At 45.3% G+C, this 17,350-nt stretch overlaps 1 protein-coding gene and 1 long non-coding RNA gene across 12 annotated transcripts in view, besides 5 other annotated features; one reads left to right on the forward strand and one right to left on the reverse strand.

The window, feature by feature from the left end:
* Positions 1 to 2,757, reverse strand: part of APP (amyloid beta precursor protein) — a 290,579-nt gene extending 287,822 nt beyond the window's left edge. For 9 of the 10 annotated variants that reach the window (NM_001136129.3, NM_001136130.3, NM_001204303.2 and 6 more), the window contains exon 1: positions 2,193 to 2,399. In NM_001136129.3, the coding sequence (NP_001129601.1) occupies positions 2,193 to 2,249 (57 nt within the window). In that variant the 5' untranslated portion in view covers positions 2,250 to 2,399. Of the gene's footprint in view, positions 1 to 2,192; positions 2,400 to 2,613 lie in introns of those variants that run through there. The other variant, NM_001136131.3, reaches the window with a different exon arrangement.
* Positions 902 to 1,111: an enhancer, noted in NCBI's record as "active region_18321". NCBI's record gives its function as "activates an Ori minimal core promoter by ATAC-STARR-seq in GM12878 lymphoblastoid cells {active_cell/tissue: GM12878}" and the evidence as "EXISTENCE:reporter gene assay evidence [ECO:0000049][PMID:35858748]".
* Positions 1,152 to 1,421: a silencer, noted in NCBI's record as "silent region_13235". NCBI's record gives its function as "represses an Ori minimal core promoter by ATAC-STARR-seq in GM12878 lymphoblastoid cells {active_cell/tissue: GM12878}" and the evidence as "EXISTENCE:reporter gene assay evidence [ECO:0000049][PMID:35858748]".
* Positions 1,610 to 2,134: an enhancer, noted in NCBI's record as "H3K27ac hESC enhancer chr21:27542299-27542823 (GRCh37/hg19 assembly coordinates)". NCBI's record gives its function as "activates a minimal SCP1, AML or CMV promoter by ChIP-STARR-seq in primed H9 embryonic stem cells {active_cell/tissue: H9 hESC(primed)}" and the evidence as "EXISTENCE:reporter gene assay evidence [ECO:0000049][PMID:30033119]".
* Positions 1,610 to 2,751: a biological region, named in NCBI's record as "H3K27ac hESC enhancer GRCh37_chr21:27542299-27542823".
* Positions 1,922 to 2,751: a silencer, noted in NCBI's record as "silent region_13236". NCBI's record gives its function as "represses an Ori minimal core promoter by ATAC-STARR-seq in GM12878 lymphoblastoid cells {active_cell/tissue: GM12878}" and the evidence as "EXISTENCE:reporter gene assay evidence [ECO:0000049][PMID:35858748]".
* Positions 2,496 to 17,350, forward strand: part of APP-DT (APP divergent transcript) — a 46,518-nt gene continuing 31,663 nt past the window's right edge. The window contains exons 1-2 of one of the 2 annotated variants that reach the window (NR_186396.1): positions 2,496 to 2,681; positions 12,166 to 12,230. This is a non-coding gene — a long non-coding RNA (APP divergent transcript). The remainder of the gene's footprint in view (positions 2,682 to 12,165; positions 12,231 to 17,350) is intronic. The other variant, NR_186395.1, reaches the window with a different exon arrangement.

Consider the following 17,350-nt stretch of genomic DNA (forward strand, 5'->3'; position numbering starts at 1 on the left):
CTCAGTAGACTGAATTACCTACCCTTCTACCAACACTTCGCAAAATGGCATAATGTGAATCTCACCTCCACCCTTTAAAGGAGTTAACAATAGCTACTGAAAAGGTCCCAAAAGATGGCAGAAAGAGCATATTAATGCAATTAAACAGACCAAAAACTAAATTCGAATCTGCCTACATGCTTCCTCTTTTTATACAGAAAGAAATATTGCTCAACAAAGTTACATATTTAAGTTTTGACAAAAGCTTCAAAAATACGGTTATCATATGCTTTTAATTCCTTAAATGTATGGTTTTTAATCTGTAGTAAGACCATTCGGGAAAACTGGAATAATTCTACAAATAAATGTAAGTAAGTCATGAGAGAAATCAGAATTCTCTTAGTTAAGTGCATTTTTTTAAAACATGGAAAACGAAATTCTTTAACTCTTAAAACAACCTGTCTTAACTAGCCCTAAGGTGATTCCTGAGCCACTTGTGGGTAAAAATCAGAAGAGAAAAAAGTTCAATGACCTTGCAAATTAGAAACTAAAAAACTAATGGTGTGATAGTCTGTACAGCCTCAGTGGAATTACAGGAAAACATCTGCCCGGAAATTGCTTTTTTTCTTTTGGAAAATTACTAGGAGGCTGGGGGAAAAGAGGGGAAAAACGGGTAAGGAAGGTTGCAAATGTTAAGATGCCAAACAGGAACCCAACCGAAGTCCGAAGTGAAATACAGCCTCCTCTGGCCCAACTGTCATGCAAACAACTTCTAAGCATCTTCAGATGTAAAGAAAAACAGTCATTGTGCACAGGCGTTAGCTGAATGTTCGAGAGTTGGATGAATGGGGAAGACTTGTTATACACCTAGTGGTGGGTGGATTTCACTAGGCTGCAGCCTCCACACAGCTTTTCTTTGCTGCACTGCAGAGGCGCCATCTTCTCCGTCTTAATCTTCACTCAATTCGATCCTTTTATCTGCACCCTAAAAAAAAGACCCTTCGGACCCTCCCCAGCATCCTGTGCCCCCAGGGGAACTAAACCAGAGTCCCCAGAGCTGCCAGGGAAGAGGCCGCGCCTTAATCAGACAAACGCCTCCTTGGATGCACAGGACAGAGCCCGTGCCTCCCCACCATCCGCCACTGCCCTTTCCAGACGCACATCCCACTCTCCGCCTTATTTCCTCCCCGCCAAGGACTTTACAGCCCAGCACAGAATTAAGCCTCGGAGGTGATCCGAGGGTGGGAAGCAGAGGGGCCCCGAGGCTCCGCCAGAAGCCCCGGCAGCGTCTCTGCCCCCTCCCAGGCGGACGCGCAGCCCCGGGAAGGGAGCCGGGCGGGAGCCTCGGTGGCGCACTGAGACTAACGCGGCTCGGCCCACGGCGAGGGCGGGGTGTCGCGGCTTTTGTTCCCGCGGACCTTCTGCCTCTCAGACAGAGCTTAGGGTGCGAGCGAACTCCCGGGACGTCCAGACTTGGGGAAGGCGCGGGGTGGCTATGGGTCTCCGACCCCTCCCATTTCTCGCAAGTTACACAAAAGGGAGACGCGGACATGCACAAAGTTTGCCTGTGGAAGGCGGTGCGCGACCCCGACGCCGGCTCGGGCTAGGGTCGCACCCAGGCTGCCGCCGCCAGCAGCCGCGAAAAGAGGTTGGAGCAAGGAAGGGGGATGGGGGTGAGAGAGGAAGGTGAAACGAGGCGGAGAACGCAGGGAAAAGCGAGGGGCTCCTAGCTTCCTGGGCTGTCCCGACTCCTCCTCCTCCTCCCCAGGGCCCAAGAGAAAGGAAAGGGCAACGATTCAAGAGCGAAGGACTGGCTTTAGGGACGCTGCGTTTTCGGTTTTCCCCACGTGCTCCTTCCCCCTTCCCCCCTGTCTGAATGTCTCTCGCCTCCCCCGACCCCCGCTTCCAAGGCAGGGACTAAGTCGGGGTCTGGGCTCAGGGTCGCCCCCTACCCTTCTCGCCCCGGGCTGGCGCGGAACCAGGGAGACCAGCGCCTCGCCCGCTCCCTCTCAGCGGGCCGGAGCGCGACTCCCTGGGGCAGGGCTGGGCCGAAAGCGGGGATGCGCTGGACGTCCGCAAGCGGGGGCGGAGAGGAGAGGGGTCCCATTGACGGACCCCCGGCTTCTCTGCATTAAAGACTTGGGTTAAGGTCTTGGGGGGTATCGCGTCCCCACCGTGCAGCCTCCCCCCGCCTTCCGAGGCGCGGCACCCACCTCCAGCGCCCGAGCCGTCCAGGCGGCCAGCAGGAGCAGTGCCAAACCGGGCAGCATCGCGACCCTGCGCGGGGCACCGAGTGCGCTGCTGTGCGAGTGGGATCCGCCGCGTCCTTGCTCTGCCCGCGCCGCCACCGCCGCCGTCTCCCGGGGCCCCCGCGCACGCTCCTCCGCGTGCTCTCGCCTACCGCTGCCGAGGAAACTGACGGAGCCCGAGCGCGGCGGCGGGGCTCAGAGCCAGGCGAGTCAGCTGATCCGGCCCACCCCGCTCGGCACCCGAGAGAGACCCCTAGCGGCGCCGCCGGGGAACTGCGCCCGCTCGCGCCGGGAGGGGCCCTCGCGCCCCGCGCCCACAGGTGCACGCGCCCTTGGCGCCGCCTGCACCCCACGCGCCCCCTCCGCTCCCCGGCCGACGGCCCACCTGGGCTTCGTGAACAGTGGGAGGGAGAGTCTGGGGCCAGGAGAGGGACGGTGCAGGATCAGGGAAAGGTGAGTCCTAGGACGCTGAGGCTCTAGAAAAGTCGAGAGCGCTCCTGCTCGTCCCCGTGAGCTTGAATCATCCGACCCCGCAGGCCTCCCGGGGGTGTCGTATAAAGGACTGCTGCTAGGGTGCGTTTTTATCCGCATTTCGTTTTTTCTCTCGGTTTGGAGAGGTGGGGCAGGCGTTTCTGGAAGAGAATGAGAACGAGTGAAGCTTAAAGGAAATAGGATTTTCTTTGCTTGTTGAGACAGCAAAACCTCATTTTTTAACCCCCAACGTCAAAAGCAGGCACGAGCAACCTGGAATTTCTATCTTTAGAACGAACCAAAGGAGCAAGGCGCAGGACCTGGCAAAGAAGCGGCCAACCCATTTACTTCTTCTTGAAAGCAGGGTTCTGGGCTTGGGTTTTGTTTCTTTCTTATATTTTTGTTTGTTTTTGGTTTTGTTTTGTTAAAGGGGGTGGTCAGTGTGGATTTTGCGGGGCGGGGGGTCTTTTTTTGTTGTTAAGCAGGGATGTAACATCCATCTGAGTTGGGGAAGAAGGAAAAATTAGGAGAGATCATTCGTATTCGACCCCCGTAAATGAGGACTTCTGACCTCAAACGCTGCCCTTGTTCTTCATTGTGTCTGTCCTGAATTATAGAAATGAACCTTCTGCCATGCCACTTTCTCCTGGATTAAACACAAACCGTCCACTGTCCAGTTAGTGTCCAGATAGTTTAGAATGCTCTAGAACTGCCCAGATATATCCCCTGCTCTTGACCTGAAGTAGCATTTAGTTACCAAGCCACAGCCCACTCCACACAGGGCTTGGAGCGAAGGACTGAAGCCAGGGAGTGCTCTGGCCCTTCTGAGGGCTGCACTGCAGCCTGCCTTCTCTCCCTTGCTCATTGCGCTGACAAGGGTGCCTAGGCCCGGGAAGGATGGCTCAGCCAGCGGGGTACAGACTTCCTTCCTGGGAAGTCATTTCTGTACCAGCTCCCCTAAATGTTGTCTTGTGTGTCTTTTCCCGCACTAGGCATTCAGTCTTGACTCTTGGATTACTTTTGCCCCTGAATGTCCTTTGGATGTCCTCAACAAATAAGGACAAATATTTATTGTCATGCAGTATTTGTTTATACGCTTCATGTCATTTACTTCCTACAAAAGCCAAAGAGGCTGTTACTATTATTCCTATTTATACATCAGGAAAATGAAGCTAATGAACTCCCAAATCTAATAGCAAGTAAGTGACATGAAGCTGGGACAGCAGGGAAAAGCCTAAAGTGACAGGACAAACCCAGTTGTTCACTTTCTGCACCACATTTACCCACCGCAATTCCGTATTTGTTCCGGGTCTGCATGAGCAAATAAGGCAAAAAAGAAGGTATCTGAATGCAAAGAGAAACGTGGTCCAAAGCTACAAATCTTGCAGAGTCCACTGCAAAATGCAAACGTGAGACCCTTTGTTACATTATTAAGAATTTTAAGGCCGGGCCTGGTGGCTCATGCCTGTAATCCCAGCACTTTAGGAGGCCCAGGTGGGCAGATCACCTGAGGTCAGGAGTTCTAGACCAGCCTGGCCAACATGGTGAAACCCCCATCTCTACTAAAAATGCAAAAATTAGCCGAGCGTGGTTACTCCTGCCTGTAATCCCAGCTACTCCAGAGGCTGAGGCAGGAGAATCGCTTGAACCTGGGAGGCGGAGGTTGCAGTGAGCCAAGATTGTGCCATTGCACTCCAGCCTGGGCGACAGAGCGAGACTCCACCTCAAAAAAAAGAAAAAAAATTAAATTAAGAATTTTAAGATGGCAATGGCAGAGCGTTAAACCAAGCATGGGGCTCCTCCCACCGCAGGGCCTGTGAGACTCTCCAGGGTTGCATGCCCATGAAGCCAGCCCTGGGAAGGAGGAGGCAACTTTAAGAGTGAGGGACTTTTCTTTGGGAGGCTGAGGCGGGCGGATCACGAGGTCAGGAGATCAACACCATCCTGGCTAACACGGTGAAACCCCGTCTCTACTAAAAATACAAAAAATTAGCCGGGCGTCGTGGCGGGCGCCTGTAGTCCCAGCTACTGGGGAGGCTGAGGCAGGAGAATGGCGTGAACCCGGGAGGCTGAGCTTGAAGTGAGCCGAGATCGCGCCACTGCACTCCAGCCTGGGCGACAGAGCGAGACTCCGTCTCAAAAAAAAAAAAAGAGAGTAAGGAACTTTTATTGAGCATGAAATTCAAAATTGTAGAGATGAGATCATAATCTATAAAAATTAAAGTTCTTAGATTTAGCAGTTTCTCTTTCCACTGTTGAAATTCACCACACTGACACATTCCCTGGTCAAGATGTTCCTGGGGGAAGATGATTATGCTGCTGATTGCGTCAGAATGATGGACATTGCCTGCATGTTCTCTGGTTCCTTCACTACTCAGAGATCCTGATGGCTTTTTGCTTTTCAGCCACTAGCTCTGTTCTGCATTTAATGCCATTTCCTGCCCTGAGGTGTCTTGCAGATCCTCCAAGCAGAAAACGCAGGAACATCCCTAGTTATAACCCTACAAAGTTGGGGAAGGAACCAACAACCACTTGTCTGCTGGAATTCCTACAACAGCATCCCCATCCTAGTTTCAAGTGTCTCCATTTGTGAGATATTCACTGGCTCTCCAGACTGTGCATTCTATCTTTGGGCATTTCTGGTTACTAGAATGTTCTTATCCCATTTAAAGCTCACATCCCCCGCCTTTAAACTCCCACTCAGATATCCTTGTATCCCCAGTGACCAAGCAGAATAATTCTTTTCCACACTTCAGATCTTTACAAATTTGCCAGCGGTTTTCATGCTACTTCTTCCTCTAGAGTCTTCTCTTCACAAGGTAAAACAGGCACTTCCTTCAACAGTTGCATAATGGCATGGTTTCTGGTTCCTTCCACACCTTGGCCATTCTCTAAATGTGTTCTGGCTTGTCTGTGTCTTTTTACAGTACTCGAAGTGTGCTCTGACTGCTGCAACATGGGAGATGTTGCCCACTACTCTGCCTGGAGCCTCATGTTGCATTTGACTGTTTTAGTAACCGCATCCCACTGCAGACTCCAATTGGTCCAGATACCCCATTTCTATTTTATGCATAGTCTGCTGGGCCGCGTTTCTGTCGTCTTGTGTTTAGGCTGTTATCTGTGCCCTATAAATATCACCAAAAGCAATCGTTAAGTCTGAGCCAGATGAACCCTGCAGGGGTGCCATAACTTACCATAGACTGGATGGATCAAACACCAGAAATGTATTTCCTCACATTTCAGGAGGCTGGAAGTCTGAAATCGAGGTGTTGGCTGAGTTGGTTACTTCTGAGGCCTCTCTCCTTGGCTTGCAGATGGCCACCTTCTCCCTGTATTCTCACATGGTCTTCCCTCTGTGTCTTACTGTGCCCTAATCTCCTCTTGTTATAAGGACAGCAGATATTGGGTTAGGATCCATGCTAATGACCTCATTTAACCTTAATTACATCTTTGACCCTATCTCCAAATATGGTCACATTTTGAGACACTGTCGGGTTAGGACTTCAACATATGAATTTGGGGGTGGGGGTACATAATATGTCCTTCTTTAGAACAGCTAAGACTTATTCTATAATCCTGTCACTCATCTTTGGCCTTTATTTCCAGTGACCTTTCTTTCATTTTCAGTCTGAAGATCATTCAACTCAACAGAAAAAAAAAAAATAGAAATGGAAGAGATCTACTTTCTGTCTGTCCTGCATCAGCATTGCATCATGATCCCCATGCAGCTGGCTTACCCCTCCCGCAATCATCAGGCTCTGAAAAGAAAGAAAATGACCTTTTATACTTTCCTTTAGAAAATTTTGTCAAAGCTTAAACATTGACATTTAATGACATTTAAAATCTGTATTAGTTTACTAGAGCTGCCATAACAAAATATCACAGACTGGGTGGCTTAAACCAAGAAATTTATTTTCTCACAGTTCCAGAAAAGTCTAAGATCAAGATGCAGATAGGATTGGAATCCTCAGAGGTCTCCTTGGCTTGCAGATGGCTGCACCCTTGCTAAGTCCTCACACGTTCTTTCCTCTGCACAGGTACCTCTGGTATTTCTGTGTGTCCTAATCTCCTCCTCTTACAAGAATACCAGCCAGATTATATTAGGGCCCACGCCAGTGGCCTTAATTTAATTAGCTCTTCAAAGGCCCTACCCAAATACAGTCATGTTCTAAGGTACTGGGGGTTAGGGCTTCAACATATGAATTTTGGGGGAACATAAGTCTATAACCAAACCTCTAAAATTCCCCTAAAATTATTCTCACATTTTAAGCTACTCTGATGTCCGTCCTTGGGAGTGGATTCCTTCTACTTTTTATTCATGTCCTTTTGAAATCAGAAACCTTCCTAGGTAATTAGAATATTTCTTTAGCTGCTTCCTGGTTGAATATATGGATTACTTAGCCACTCCAGACTTCCGGTAGTGTTGGGAATTACCATGCTTTCCATGAAGATGTGAGCTTGCTGGGTATCATGTACGTTGGCAGACGCAGTGACGTATTTGAGAGTTTCACATGCCTCTTAACCTGTCTTTCCTCCCAGAACCGTGTGCTAACTCCTCATCAAAGACCAGAAGTAGATCCTGAATTGTATTCATTCTCATCTCTTTCTACCTCCTCCAAGACAGAAGGACATGATTAACTTCTTTATCTCAATGTCAGCCTTCAATAGCTACAAAAGTCTAAACTGTAAATAGCGTTGAAGCTTTGCATAATAAAATTCTTTTCCCCAGTGATGGGCAGTTTTTCACATAGTAACATTCTTTTAATCTTTTTTTCTTTTTAATGAGTAGACATAAAGAAATGCTTAAATAAATAATTATCAACTAACTTACCTACATTTAACTACACATACCTAACAGACCTGAATATAGGCAGAGGATGTGACATTTTACTTACCCTTTTATTAAAGTTACTGCTTCATTTATTGGTCTTTACTTCACTAGTGCATCCATAAAATGTTTACATTTTTTTAAACAATAAAATACTCTTGAAATTAGTCCTTCTCTGTAATCACTACATAAAACTGCTTTAGAGACAGCCTTCAGATCAACTAAATTATATTTTACAAAATGGCTTAGGTATTTCAGTAGTAACTCTATGGAACAACAGAATTCACTGTTTAACCAGGGACCAATATTGGCAGCTGGCTTCCATAACTTGTTTGAGGAATGTAGTAATTCCAAGGTTGCTGCAAGGACTAATGTACAGGAATATTCCTGTATTTTATGGAATAAAAAGGAAGAACGAGAGGAGAAAGAAATAGATAGTACATACCAACCCCAGAGGTAGGGAGTATGAAAATCAATCAAGTAGCCAGAAGATGTAATGGAGCCATGTGGGTCTTACGTCAGTTCTCTTCCTTAGAGAACTTTGGATAATAGGGCAACAATATGCTCTGGTGGAAAAGAACTCAGGCCTTGAGAAAGCCTGAGCACTACAGTTTCTGAAGAATGCTCCTTTCATTAGGTGGTGTGGTGATGAATTGTAAAGGCACCCAGCACAGTGCCTGGTTTACCATAGAAATCGGTTCTTTTTTCTTGAGAGAACAACAATTCGCAATAGCTGTCACTTAAGTGACCAGCATAATCCTGGCTTTGAGCTTGCCAGGGGCTGCCAGTTAGAACAATGGCTGTCAACCCCGTGTTATTTATTTAGATTTCCTAAGTAATGTTTTGCTAATAAAAGCTCCAAATTTGTGAGTGATTTACTCTTGTTTTATTTATTTAATAAAGTGGCACGATTTATTAATTTAATTAATTATTTAATTAATTATTAGCAGTGGCACAATCTCAGCTCACTGCAACCTCTACCTCCTGGGCTCAAGTGATCCTTCACCTCAGCCTCCAGAGTAGCTGGGGCTACAGGTGCGCACTACCATGTCCAGCTAATTTGTGTACTTTTTGTAGAGATGGGGTCTTGCCATGTTATCCAGGTTGGTCTTAAACTCCTGAGCTCGTGATCCACCCTCCTTGATCTCCTAAAATGCAGGGATTATAGGCATGAGCCACTGTGTCTGGTTGATTTATTTTAATTTAAATAAAAGCAACTCGAGGTTAGCATCATATCAGGCTACTCTCAGTTGTATTCTAGTATCTCTCTTGAGTGTGGGAGTAAGGGATGGAGCTGTAGCTAGTTTGCTGAGAACTGGACAAAACCCTGACCACTCCCTAGGGCGTGTGCCTAGGATGTGAAAGATATGCCTCCTGTTTTCAGACGGCACCGTGCTTGGAAAGGCTGCTTGCCAGAGGTGTTGAAAGGATGCCACTGGGCTGGTCCTGCACAATGGAAGACCACATCACATGCTCCAAGAGAGTCACTCCCCAGAGCAGCTGCAGGAAGCCACAGCTCTGTGGCCTGGGATCCTTGCCACACTGAATATTAGTGATAGACATTGGAGCCGAGGGGATCTTATGCTTCAAGGCAGCTGGATCTCTTTTTTACTGGTCAAATCATACCTAAGGATTGTCTTTCGTGTCCTAGAGACTTTGATGAGTAATTCAACTTTTAAAATCCAAGTGAAGGCTGTGGCTAGAGAAGCATGAGCTAAACCTAAAATGAATGGGAACATTACAGTCTAACAAGCCTTGAGAATTCAGGTTCACATTCCCTAAAGAAACAACATCCTGAATGATGAAACAAACACACAAACCAACCAACAATTTGTGATGTGAGATACCAAAACAGACACCCCTTTATCACCTAAGATGGACTGTAAGGTTAAGGAAACAAAGTTACCTACAGGGTTAGGGTTCGGGGACTGGCTGGCATGACCAATTTCTCAATTTCTATGGCTCTAAACTCCCTAATAATAGGAACTATCAGCCCCATCCTGTGATTTACAACCCAGACCACTACAACTCTAATTGGAATGAGGACCAGCCTTACAAACATTCTTTTCTGATAAGCAATTGCAGACCTTAAGCCAGTGTCAGCCAGTTTATTAGAGGCTGTGCACAAACTGTCTTTGGGTCCTGTAGTTCACCTTTTGATGTAAAGAGCCAAATTTTACCTCATTTTAACACTAAAACCCTGCCCCAAAGTGTACATGGGATGTCACATACATATTTACCCATTGCACATGCACTCAGCTCCCCTCATAAATATGTATATCTTTTCCTCCAAACCTGCTGAATATGTATGACTCCACTGTGTGAAACAGACCCTGTGAGGCATGAAACCCAACTGTCCTTCCTCTCTTTTGAAGAGAGACCACATTCAGCATACACCGAAGACTATGTCTTCCGGGTTTGCAAATTGATATTGCCAATAAAGCTCTCCTTTCTGTTATTTAGCCATCACGATGGTCTTTTGAATGATAAATTCACAAAAGCACCAAATCATTCAATATACAACGTTGTCCCTGAGCAAACACCCAACTTTATCCCTTAAATAACATTTTTGTCCCGTGTGTAATTTATTCAGTTAAATATAACTATTAGAAATGAAAGTGTTCAGTATTGGTGGATCAATAAAAAATTTTTATATTCTCACTTTGGGTGGGAATTAAAAAAAAACTGGTTCATTTGCTCCCATTAAGGAGCTAATGTTTATATGAGAAAAATATCTGGGCAAGAAAAAGAAAAGGCACAGTGAAAAAAGTACATCAGTAAATACAATTTAGTATAAAGTATTTGTGCACATATATGTGAATTCATCAGAAGAAAAGTAAGGATCAGGCCTGGTGGCTTGTGCCTATAATCCCAGCATTTTGGGAGGCCAAGGCAGGAGGATCACTTGAGCCTAGGAGTTCAAGACCAGTTTGGGCTCAAAATGAGACCCTGTCTCTACAAAAAATAAAATATATTTTTTAAAATTTAAAAATTTTGGCCAGGCATGATGGCTCACACCTGTATTCTCAGCACTTTGGGAGGTCGAGGTGGGTGGGTTACTTGAGGTCAGGTGTGGTGGTAGGCACCTGTAATCCCAGCAACTCAGGAGGCTGAGGCAGGAGAATTGCTTGAACCTGGGAAGTGGAGGTTGCAGTGAGCCGAGATCGTGTCACTGCACTCCAGCCTGGGCGACAGAGCAAGACTCCGTCTGAAAAAAAAAATAAAATAAATTAAAAAAATAAAAATTTTTTAAAAAGAAAATGAGAGTTACAGACCTGTAGCGTTGGAAGGGTGAATAAGGGACCTTCAGAGGAGGTTTTTTGTTTTTGTTTTTTATCAGGGTATTTGATAACAACCATTAAGAAAGAAGAAAGGAGGATGTTCGAAGGAGAAACCATGTAAATACATCAAGAGTGTTCATGATGGGGGTGGTAAGTGGGAGTTAGCTATAGGAAGAGGTTTTTTTTTTTGTTTTTTTTTTTTTGAGACTGACTCTTGCTCTGTCACCTGGGCTGGAGTGCGGTGGTTTGATCTCCACTCACTGCAGCCTCCCCCGCTGCCCCGGGTTCAAGTGATTCTCCTGACTCAGCCTCCCGAGTAGCTGGGATTACAGGCACGCACCACCAGGTCCGGCTAATTTTTGTATTTTTTAGTACAGACAGGGCTTCACCATGTTGGCCAGGCTGGTCTTGAACTCTTGACCTCAAGTGATCTGCCTGCCTCAGCTGCCTAAAGTGTTGGAATTACAGGCATGAGCCAGCACAACCGGCCAGGAAGAGGTCTTAATGTTAGAAGACCTGAGGAATTTAGGTCAGATGGAATAGGCAGCAGTGGGCAATTAGTCACTACAGATTTACCAATCATGATCTGACATTTTAACATTTCTAGAGGCTTGTCCACGGGGAAAGTATAGGGAGATTCAGAGGATGAAAAAGTTGAGATTGGGAAGAGAAGGAAGAAGAATGTGCCAGAGGTTCCAGGAATGAACATAGATAGGGTCTGTGAAAAGTTTGTGAAAAAATCACACAAGGACATCTTATTACTAATAAGGATGCCTAAGGATTACAGTATGTCAGGCTGAGGACGTATACAGACGGGATCTCTGAATACTCATGAGTTGTATTGGGTTAACATTGCATGTCACAAATGAAGAGGTGAAAGAGTAAGGGGAAGAGAAAGGAGGGTTTGTACCCAGTTCTGTCTAACCTGGACACCTTTAGTGACAATGCTGAACTGCAAAGGAGAAAAAGTGATTTGAAAACTTTTTTTTTTTTTTTTTTTGAGACAGAGTCTCAGTCTTGCTGTCTTGCCCAGGCTTGAGTACAGTGGCGTGATCTTGGCTCACGGCAACCTCCGCCTCCAGAACTCAAGCTATCCTCCTGCCTCAGCCTCCTGAGTAGGGGTGGGATTGCAGGCACACATACACCTGGCTAATTTTTTTTTTTTTTGTATTTTGTATTTTTAGTAGAGATAGGGGTTTCATCATGTTGCCTAGGCTGGTCTTGAACTCCTGGCCTCAAGTGATCCACCCGCCTCAGCCTCCCAAAGTGCTGTGATTGCAGGCATGAGCCACTGCACCTGGCCTGAAATCTTTTTTTTTAAATGAGGGAAATAATAAATTTAATGTTCATTTTGTAGGTGGAAATCAGAAGTACATGCAATAGGAATTAACTTGAATATGATGCATAAAGTTTGAAGCAAAGGTGAGTGATAGATGAACATTGGTGATGTAACTCCGGAAGTTGTCTGTCATAACTGATGACTTATCCCCATCATATGTGCTGAAAACTACTCAGATGAAGTTAACAACCTGATATTACAAAATAAGCATATATATTTTGTGTTTATAAGAACCTAATAATCATCTGGAGACTTAGTACTTGGGGGGTGAGCTATAGATAGCCCTGTGTATCAGGGTTTTCCAAACAAACAGAACCAATGGGATATATATAGATATATAAAGACACTTCTTATAGGAATTGGCTCAGGAGATTATAAAGGCCAAGAAGTTCCAATATGTGCCCCCTGCAAGCCGAAGAACCAGGAAATCCAGTGTAATTCTTGCATGTGAAGCTGAAGGGCTGAAGAGTGTCTGCTGGTATTGAAGGCTCAAGAACCTGGAGCTCTGAAGTCAAGGGCAGGAGCAGATGATGGATGTCCCAGCTTCAGAAGAGAGAGCAAATTTGCCTTCCTCCACCTCTTTTATGATTCCTATGCTCAGTTAATTGAATGATGCCCACTCACATTAGTGAGGATGGGTTTTTGATACCCAGTCTATTGATTCAAATGCTAATCTCTTCCAGAAATACTCTCACAGACTCTCCCAGAAATAATATTTTACCAGCTGTCTGGGCATCCCTTAACCCAGGATGGGCTAAGAGACAAGTGGACACATAAAGTTAACCACCATACCCTGTAAATATGGTATGAGAAGGGATCGAGTCATATTTCATATCAAGATTATTTTCCAATGCATAGATGCCTTGGAATAATACTTCTTATAAAATAATGAGTAACATTTTCTAGCACAAGTTCCAAACTGTGTACCATGGAACCCTAGCTCGGTCATATGTTGCTCGGTATTGCATGCATACCCGAAAAGAATTCTGTAATCAAGTAACTTTGAGAAATAAGAGGTTAAACAAAATTAAACAAATACCTTCACTTTAAAATGCATACAATTCTTTAAGATGATAATCTGCATTTTGAATTTTAAAGAGGGTAGGTAGCTTCAGTATGTAGCATCACTCCCTCTCCCTATTTCTTTTTTCTTTTTTTTTTTTTTGAGACATAGTCTCTCTCTTTTCCCCAGGCATGATCTCTGCTCACTGCAACCTCTGCCTCCAGGGATCAAGCAATTCTCATGCCTCAGCCTCCTGAGTGGCTGGGATTACAGGTGTGTGCCACCATACCCGGCTAATTTTTTTTTTTGTATTTTTAGTAGAGATGGGGTTTCACCATGTTGGCCAGGCTGGTCTTGAACTCCTGACCTCAAGTGATCCACCCACCTCAGCCTCACAAAGTGCTGGGATTACGTGCACACACACCTAGCTAATTTTTGTATTTTAGAAGAGACGGGGTTTCACCATGTTGACTGATCTCGAACTCCTGACCTCAAGTGATCCACCTGCCTGGGTCACCCAAAGTGCTGGGATTACAGGCATGAGCCACCGCGCCTGCCTGGCACCTCTCCCCATTCCTTGTTTTTGTTTGCTGCACCAACTCCTAGTGTTGCACAAAGCATGCTTTAGGGAATGTGGTTTGGAAGCATTCGAATCAAACCCTTGAATTTTTTTAGACCCTTGTAGAAGTGAAGGTTTATAGTGTACATTTTTGTCAAAGCAGATGGGTTCTTTTCACTGAAAGTTGTTTTCACACATGACCTTGAAAATAAATTAATAAAAAAAAAGTAGAAATATTAGGCTGACAGACATTTTAAAGTAGGGCATAAGATGCCATAAAAAGCCTTTTGAAAGTTTAAAATAGGAGTTAAAGTGTGTGTTATATGGAAGATACCAGATTAGAGTCTTTGAATATTTATTATATAAATGTGCAAGTATATGACCAGCTTCTTCCCAGTTTGGGGGAGTAATGGGACGGCATTCAGTTCACATTTGAGACTGCTTCTCTTTAAATTTTCGTAAGTGAAAAGGAAGAAGGATCACTAAGTTTACAAAGACAAGTCTCGGAATAAGACTTTCGTTCACTGTATTGCCTTTAATCATCTGGTGGGAGGGCCCTCAAGAAGTGGCCAAGGCCCTATGAAGATTGGTGAAGAGTTTCAAGGAGGAGAATTGAAGGAGACAGCTATGGGATTAATTTTGAGAGATGCCTTTGCTGAAATGTCTCATAAAATATACATGGAGAGCAAGGGCACAAGGAGACAGAGAACTCTCTCGGCCAAACAATAAATCAGAATTTCCATAGTTTTTCTCTGTTAGTCCTTATTGAAAAATTTGTCTACTGCTAATGGTGTCAAGTAGCCCTGCCAGCCCTCATTATTGTACCAAAAAGCAAAACGAGGAAAAGGTTTAGGGAGCTAGGTCTAAAAGGAATATCATTTCTGTTTCCCAACAATTAGTGAAAACAGATTCTGTTACCAAAATCTTGCAGAACCAAGGGTCCTAATACCCACTTTATTCTGGTGAGTTTGTCAGTCGATAAAAAATACTAACAGGCCAGGTTCTTTTCTCAGATAAACAGTAAAATAACATGGTTATAAACAGAAAAAAAATGGTGAAAACACAAATCTTGGTGTATTAGGCCATTCTTGCATTGCCAAAAAGAAATATCTGAGACTAGGTAGTTTATAAAGAAAAGAGGCCGGGTGCAATGGCTCACACCTGTAATCCCAGCACTTTGGGAAGCTGAGGTGGACAGATAACCTTAGGTCAGGAGTTCGAGACCAGCCTGGCCAACGTGGTGAAACCTCATCTCTACTAAAAATACAAAAATTAGCTGGGTGTGGTGGCATGCACCTGTAATCCTAGCTACTCAGGAGGCTGAGGCAGGAGAATCACTTGAGCCTCAGAGCAGAGATAGTGCCACTGCCTTCCAGCGTGGGCCACAGGATGAGACTCCATCTCAAAAAAAAAGAGAGAGAGATTTAATCAGCTTATGATTCTTCAGGCTTTGCAGGAAGCCTGATGCTGGCATCTGCTTGGCTTCTGGTGAGGCCTCAGGAAACTTACAATCATGATGGAAGGTGAAGGGGGAGTAGGGATGTCACATGACCAGACCGGGAACAAGAGAAAGCATGGTGCCACACACTTTTAAACAGCCAGATCTCATGAGAAGTCACTCATCACAAGGACAGCAACAAACAGATAGTGCTAAACGATTCATGAGTAATCCACCCCCATGATCCAATCACCTCCTACCAGGTCCCGCCTCCAATACTAGGGATTACAATTCCACATGAGATTTGGGTGGGGATAAGTACACAAACTATATCATTCTGCCCCAGCCCCTCTCAAATCTCATGTCCCTCTCTCATTTCAAAATACAATCATGCCTTCCCAACAGTCCTCCAAGGTCTTGACTTGTTCCAGCATTAACTCAAAAGTCCAAAGTCCAAATTCCAAGTCCAAAGTCTCATCTGAGACTCATCTCTTTCCATCTATGAGCCTGTAAAATCAAAACAAGTTATTTACTTCCAAGATATAATGGGAGTACCAGCACTGGGTAAACATTCCCATTCCAAAAGGGAGAAATCAGCCAAAAGAAAGGGGCTATAGTCTTCATGCAATTTCAAAACCCAGCAGGGCAGTCATTAAACCTTAAAGTTCCAAAATAATTTCCTTTGACTCCATGTCCCACATCCAGGGCACACTGGAGCAAGGGGTGGGCTCCCAAGGCTATCAGCAGCTCTGCCTCTGTGGCTTTGCAGCTGGGTACAGCCCTCATGGCTGCTCTCACAGGTTGTTGAGTGCCATGGCTTTTCTAGGCACAAGGTGTAAGCTGCTGGTAGATCTGCCATTCTCAGGCCTAGAAGGCAGGGGCCCCCTTCTCACAGCTCTGCCAGGTCATGCCCCATTGGGGACTCTGTGTGGGGTCTCCAGCCTCACACTTCCCCTTGTCACTGCCCTAGTAGAGGTTATCTTTGGAGGCTCTGCACCTGCAACAAGTTTCTGCCTGGGCACCCAGGCTTTCTTGTACAGCCTCTGAAATTTAGGTTGAGGCTGCCAAGCATTCTTTAATCTTATATTCTGTGCACCTACATACATAACACTGTGTGGAAGCCTCCAAGTCTTATGGCTTGCATTCTCCAAAGTGGCAGCCCAAACTGTACCTGGGTCCCTTTGAACCGCAGCTGGAGCTGGAGTGGCTGGGATATGGAGAGCAGTGTTCCAAGGCTGTGCAGGGCAGTGGGGCCTTGGGCCTAGCCCACAAAACCATTCTTTCTTCCTAGGTCTCTGGGTCTGTGATGGAAGGAGCTGCTGCAAAGGTCTCTTAAATACCTTCAAGGCCTTTTCCCCATTTTCTTGGATATTACCATCTGGATTCTTTTTAGTTATGCAAATATCTCTAGCAAGTGGTTTGCTCTGCAACCTGCTTGGATTCTTCCCATGAAAATGGGCTCAGCTTTTCAACCACATGGCCAGCCTGCAAATTTTCCAAACTTATACGCTGTCCTTCCCTTTTAAATATGAGTTCCAGCTTTAAGTCACTTCTTTGCTCCTATATCTGAGTCGGGCTGCTAGAAGCAGCCAGGTTAATTCCTAAATGCTTTGCTGCTTAGAAATTTCTTCTGCCAGATACCCTAGGTCATCACTCACAAGTTCAAACTTCCACACACCCCTGGGGCATGAAGAGAATGCAGCCAAGTTCTTTGCTAATGCATAGCACATGTGATCTTTGCTCCAATTCCCAATAAGTTCCTCATTTCCATCTGAGACCTTGGCAGGCCTGGACTTCACTATTCATATTTCTGTCAGCATTTTGGTGACAACCATTTAACCAGTTTCTAAGATATTCCAAACTTTTCCTCATCTTCCTGTCTTCTGAGCTCTCCAAACTCTTCCAACCTCTGCCCAGTTCCAAAGTTACTTCCATGTTTTCAGATATCTTTATATCAATGCCCCCATTACTCAGCACTAATTTTCTGTGTTACATCGTTCTTGCATTGCTGTAAAGAAATACCTGAGATGGGTAATTTGTAAAGAAAAGAGGACTATTTCCCTCACACTTCTGCAGGCTTTACATGAATCACAGTGCTGGCATCTGCTTGACTTCTGGTGAAGCTTCAGGGAGTTTTCAATCATGGTGGAATGCAAAGGGGAAGCACACACATCACCTGGTGAAAGCATGTGATGAGCAAGAG

The sequence above is a fragment of the Homo sapiens genome, chromosome 21, assembly GCF_000001405.40.
Source record: "Homo sapiens chromosome 21, GRCh38.p14 Primary Assembly".
NCBI classification, from domain to species: domain Eukaryota; kingdom Metazoa; phylum Chordata; class Mammalia; order Primates; family Hominidae; genus Homo; species Homo sapiens.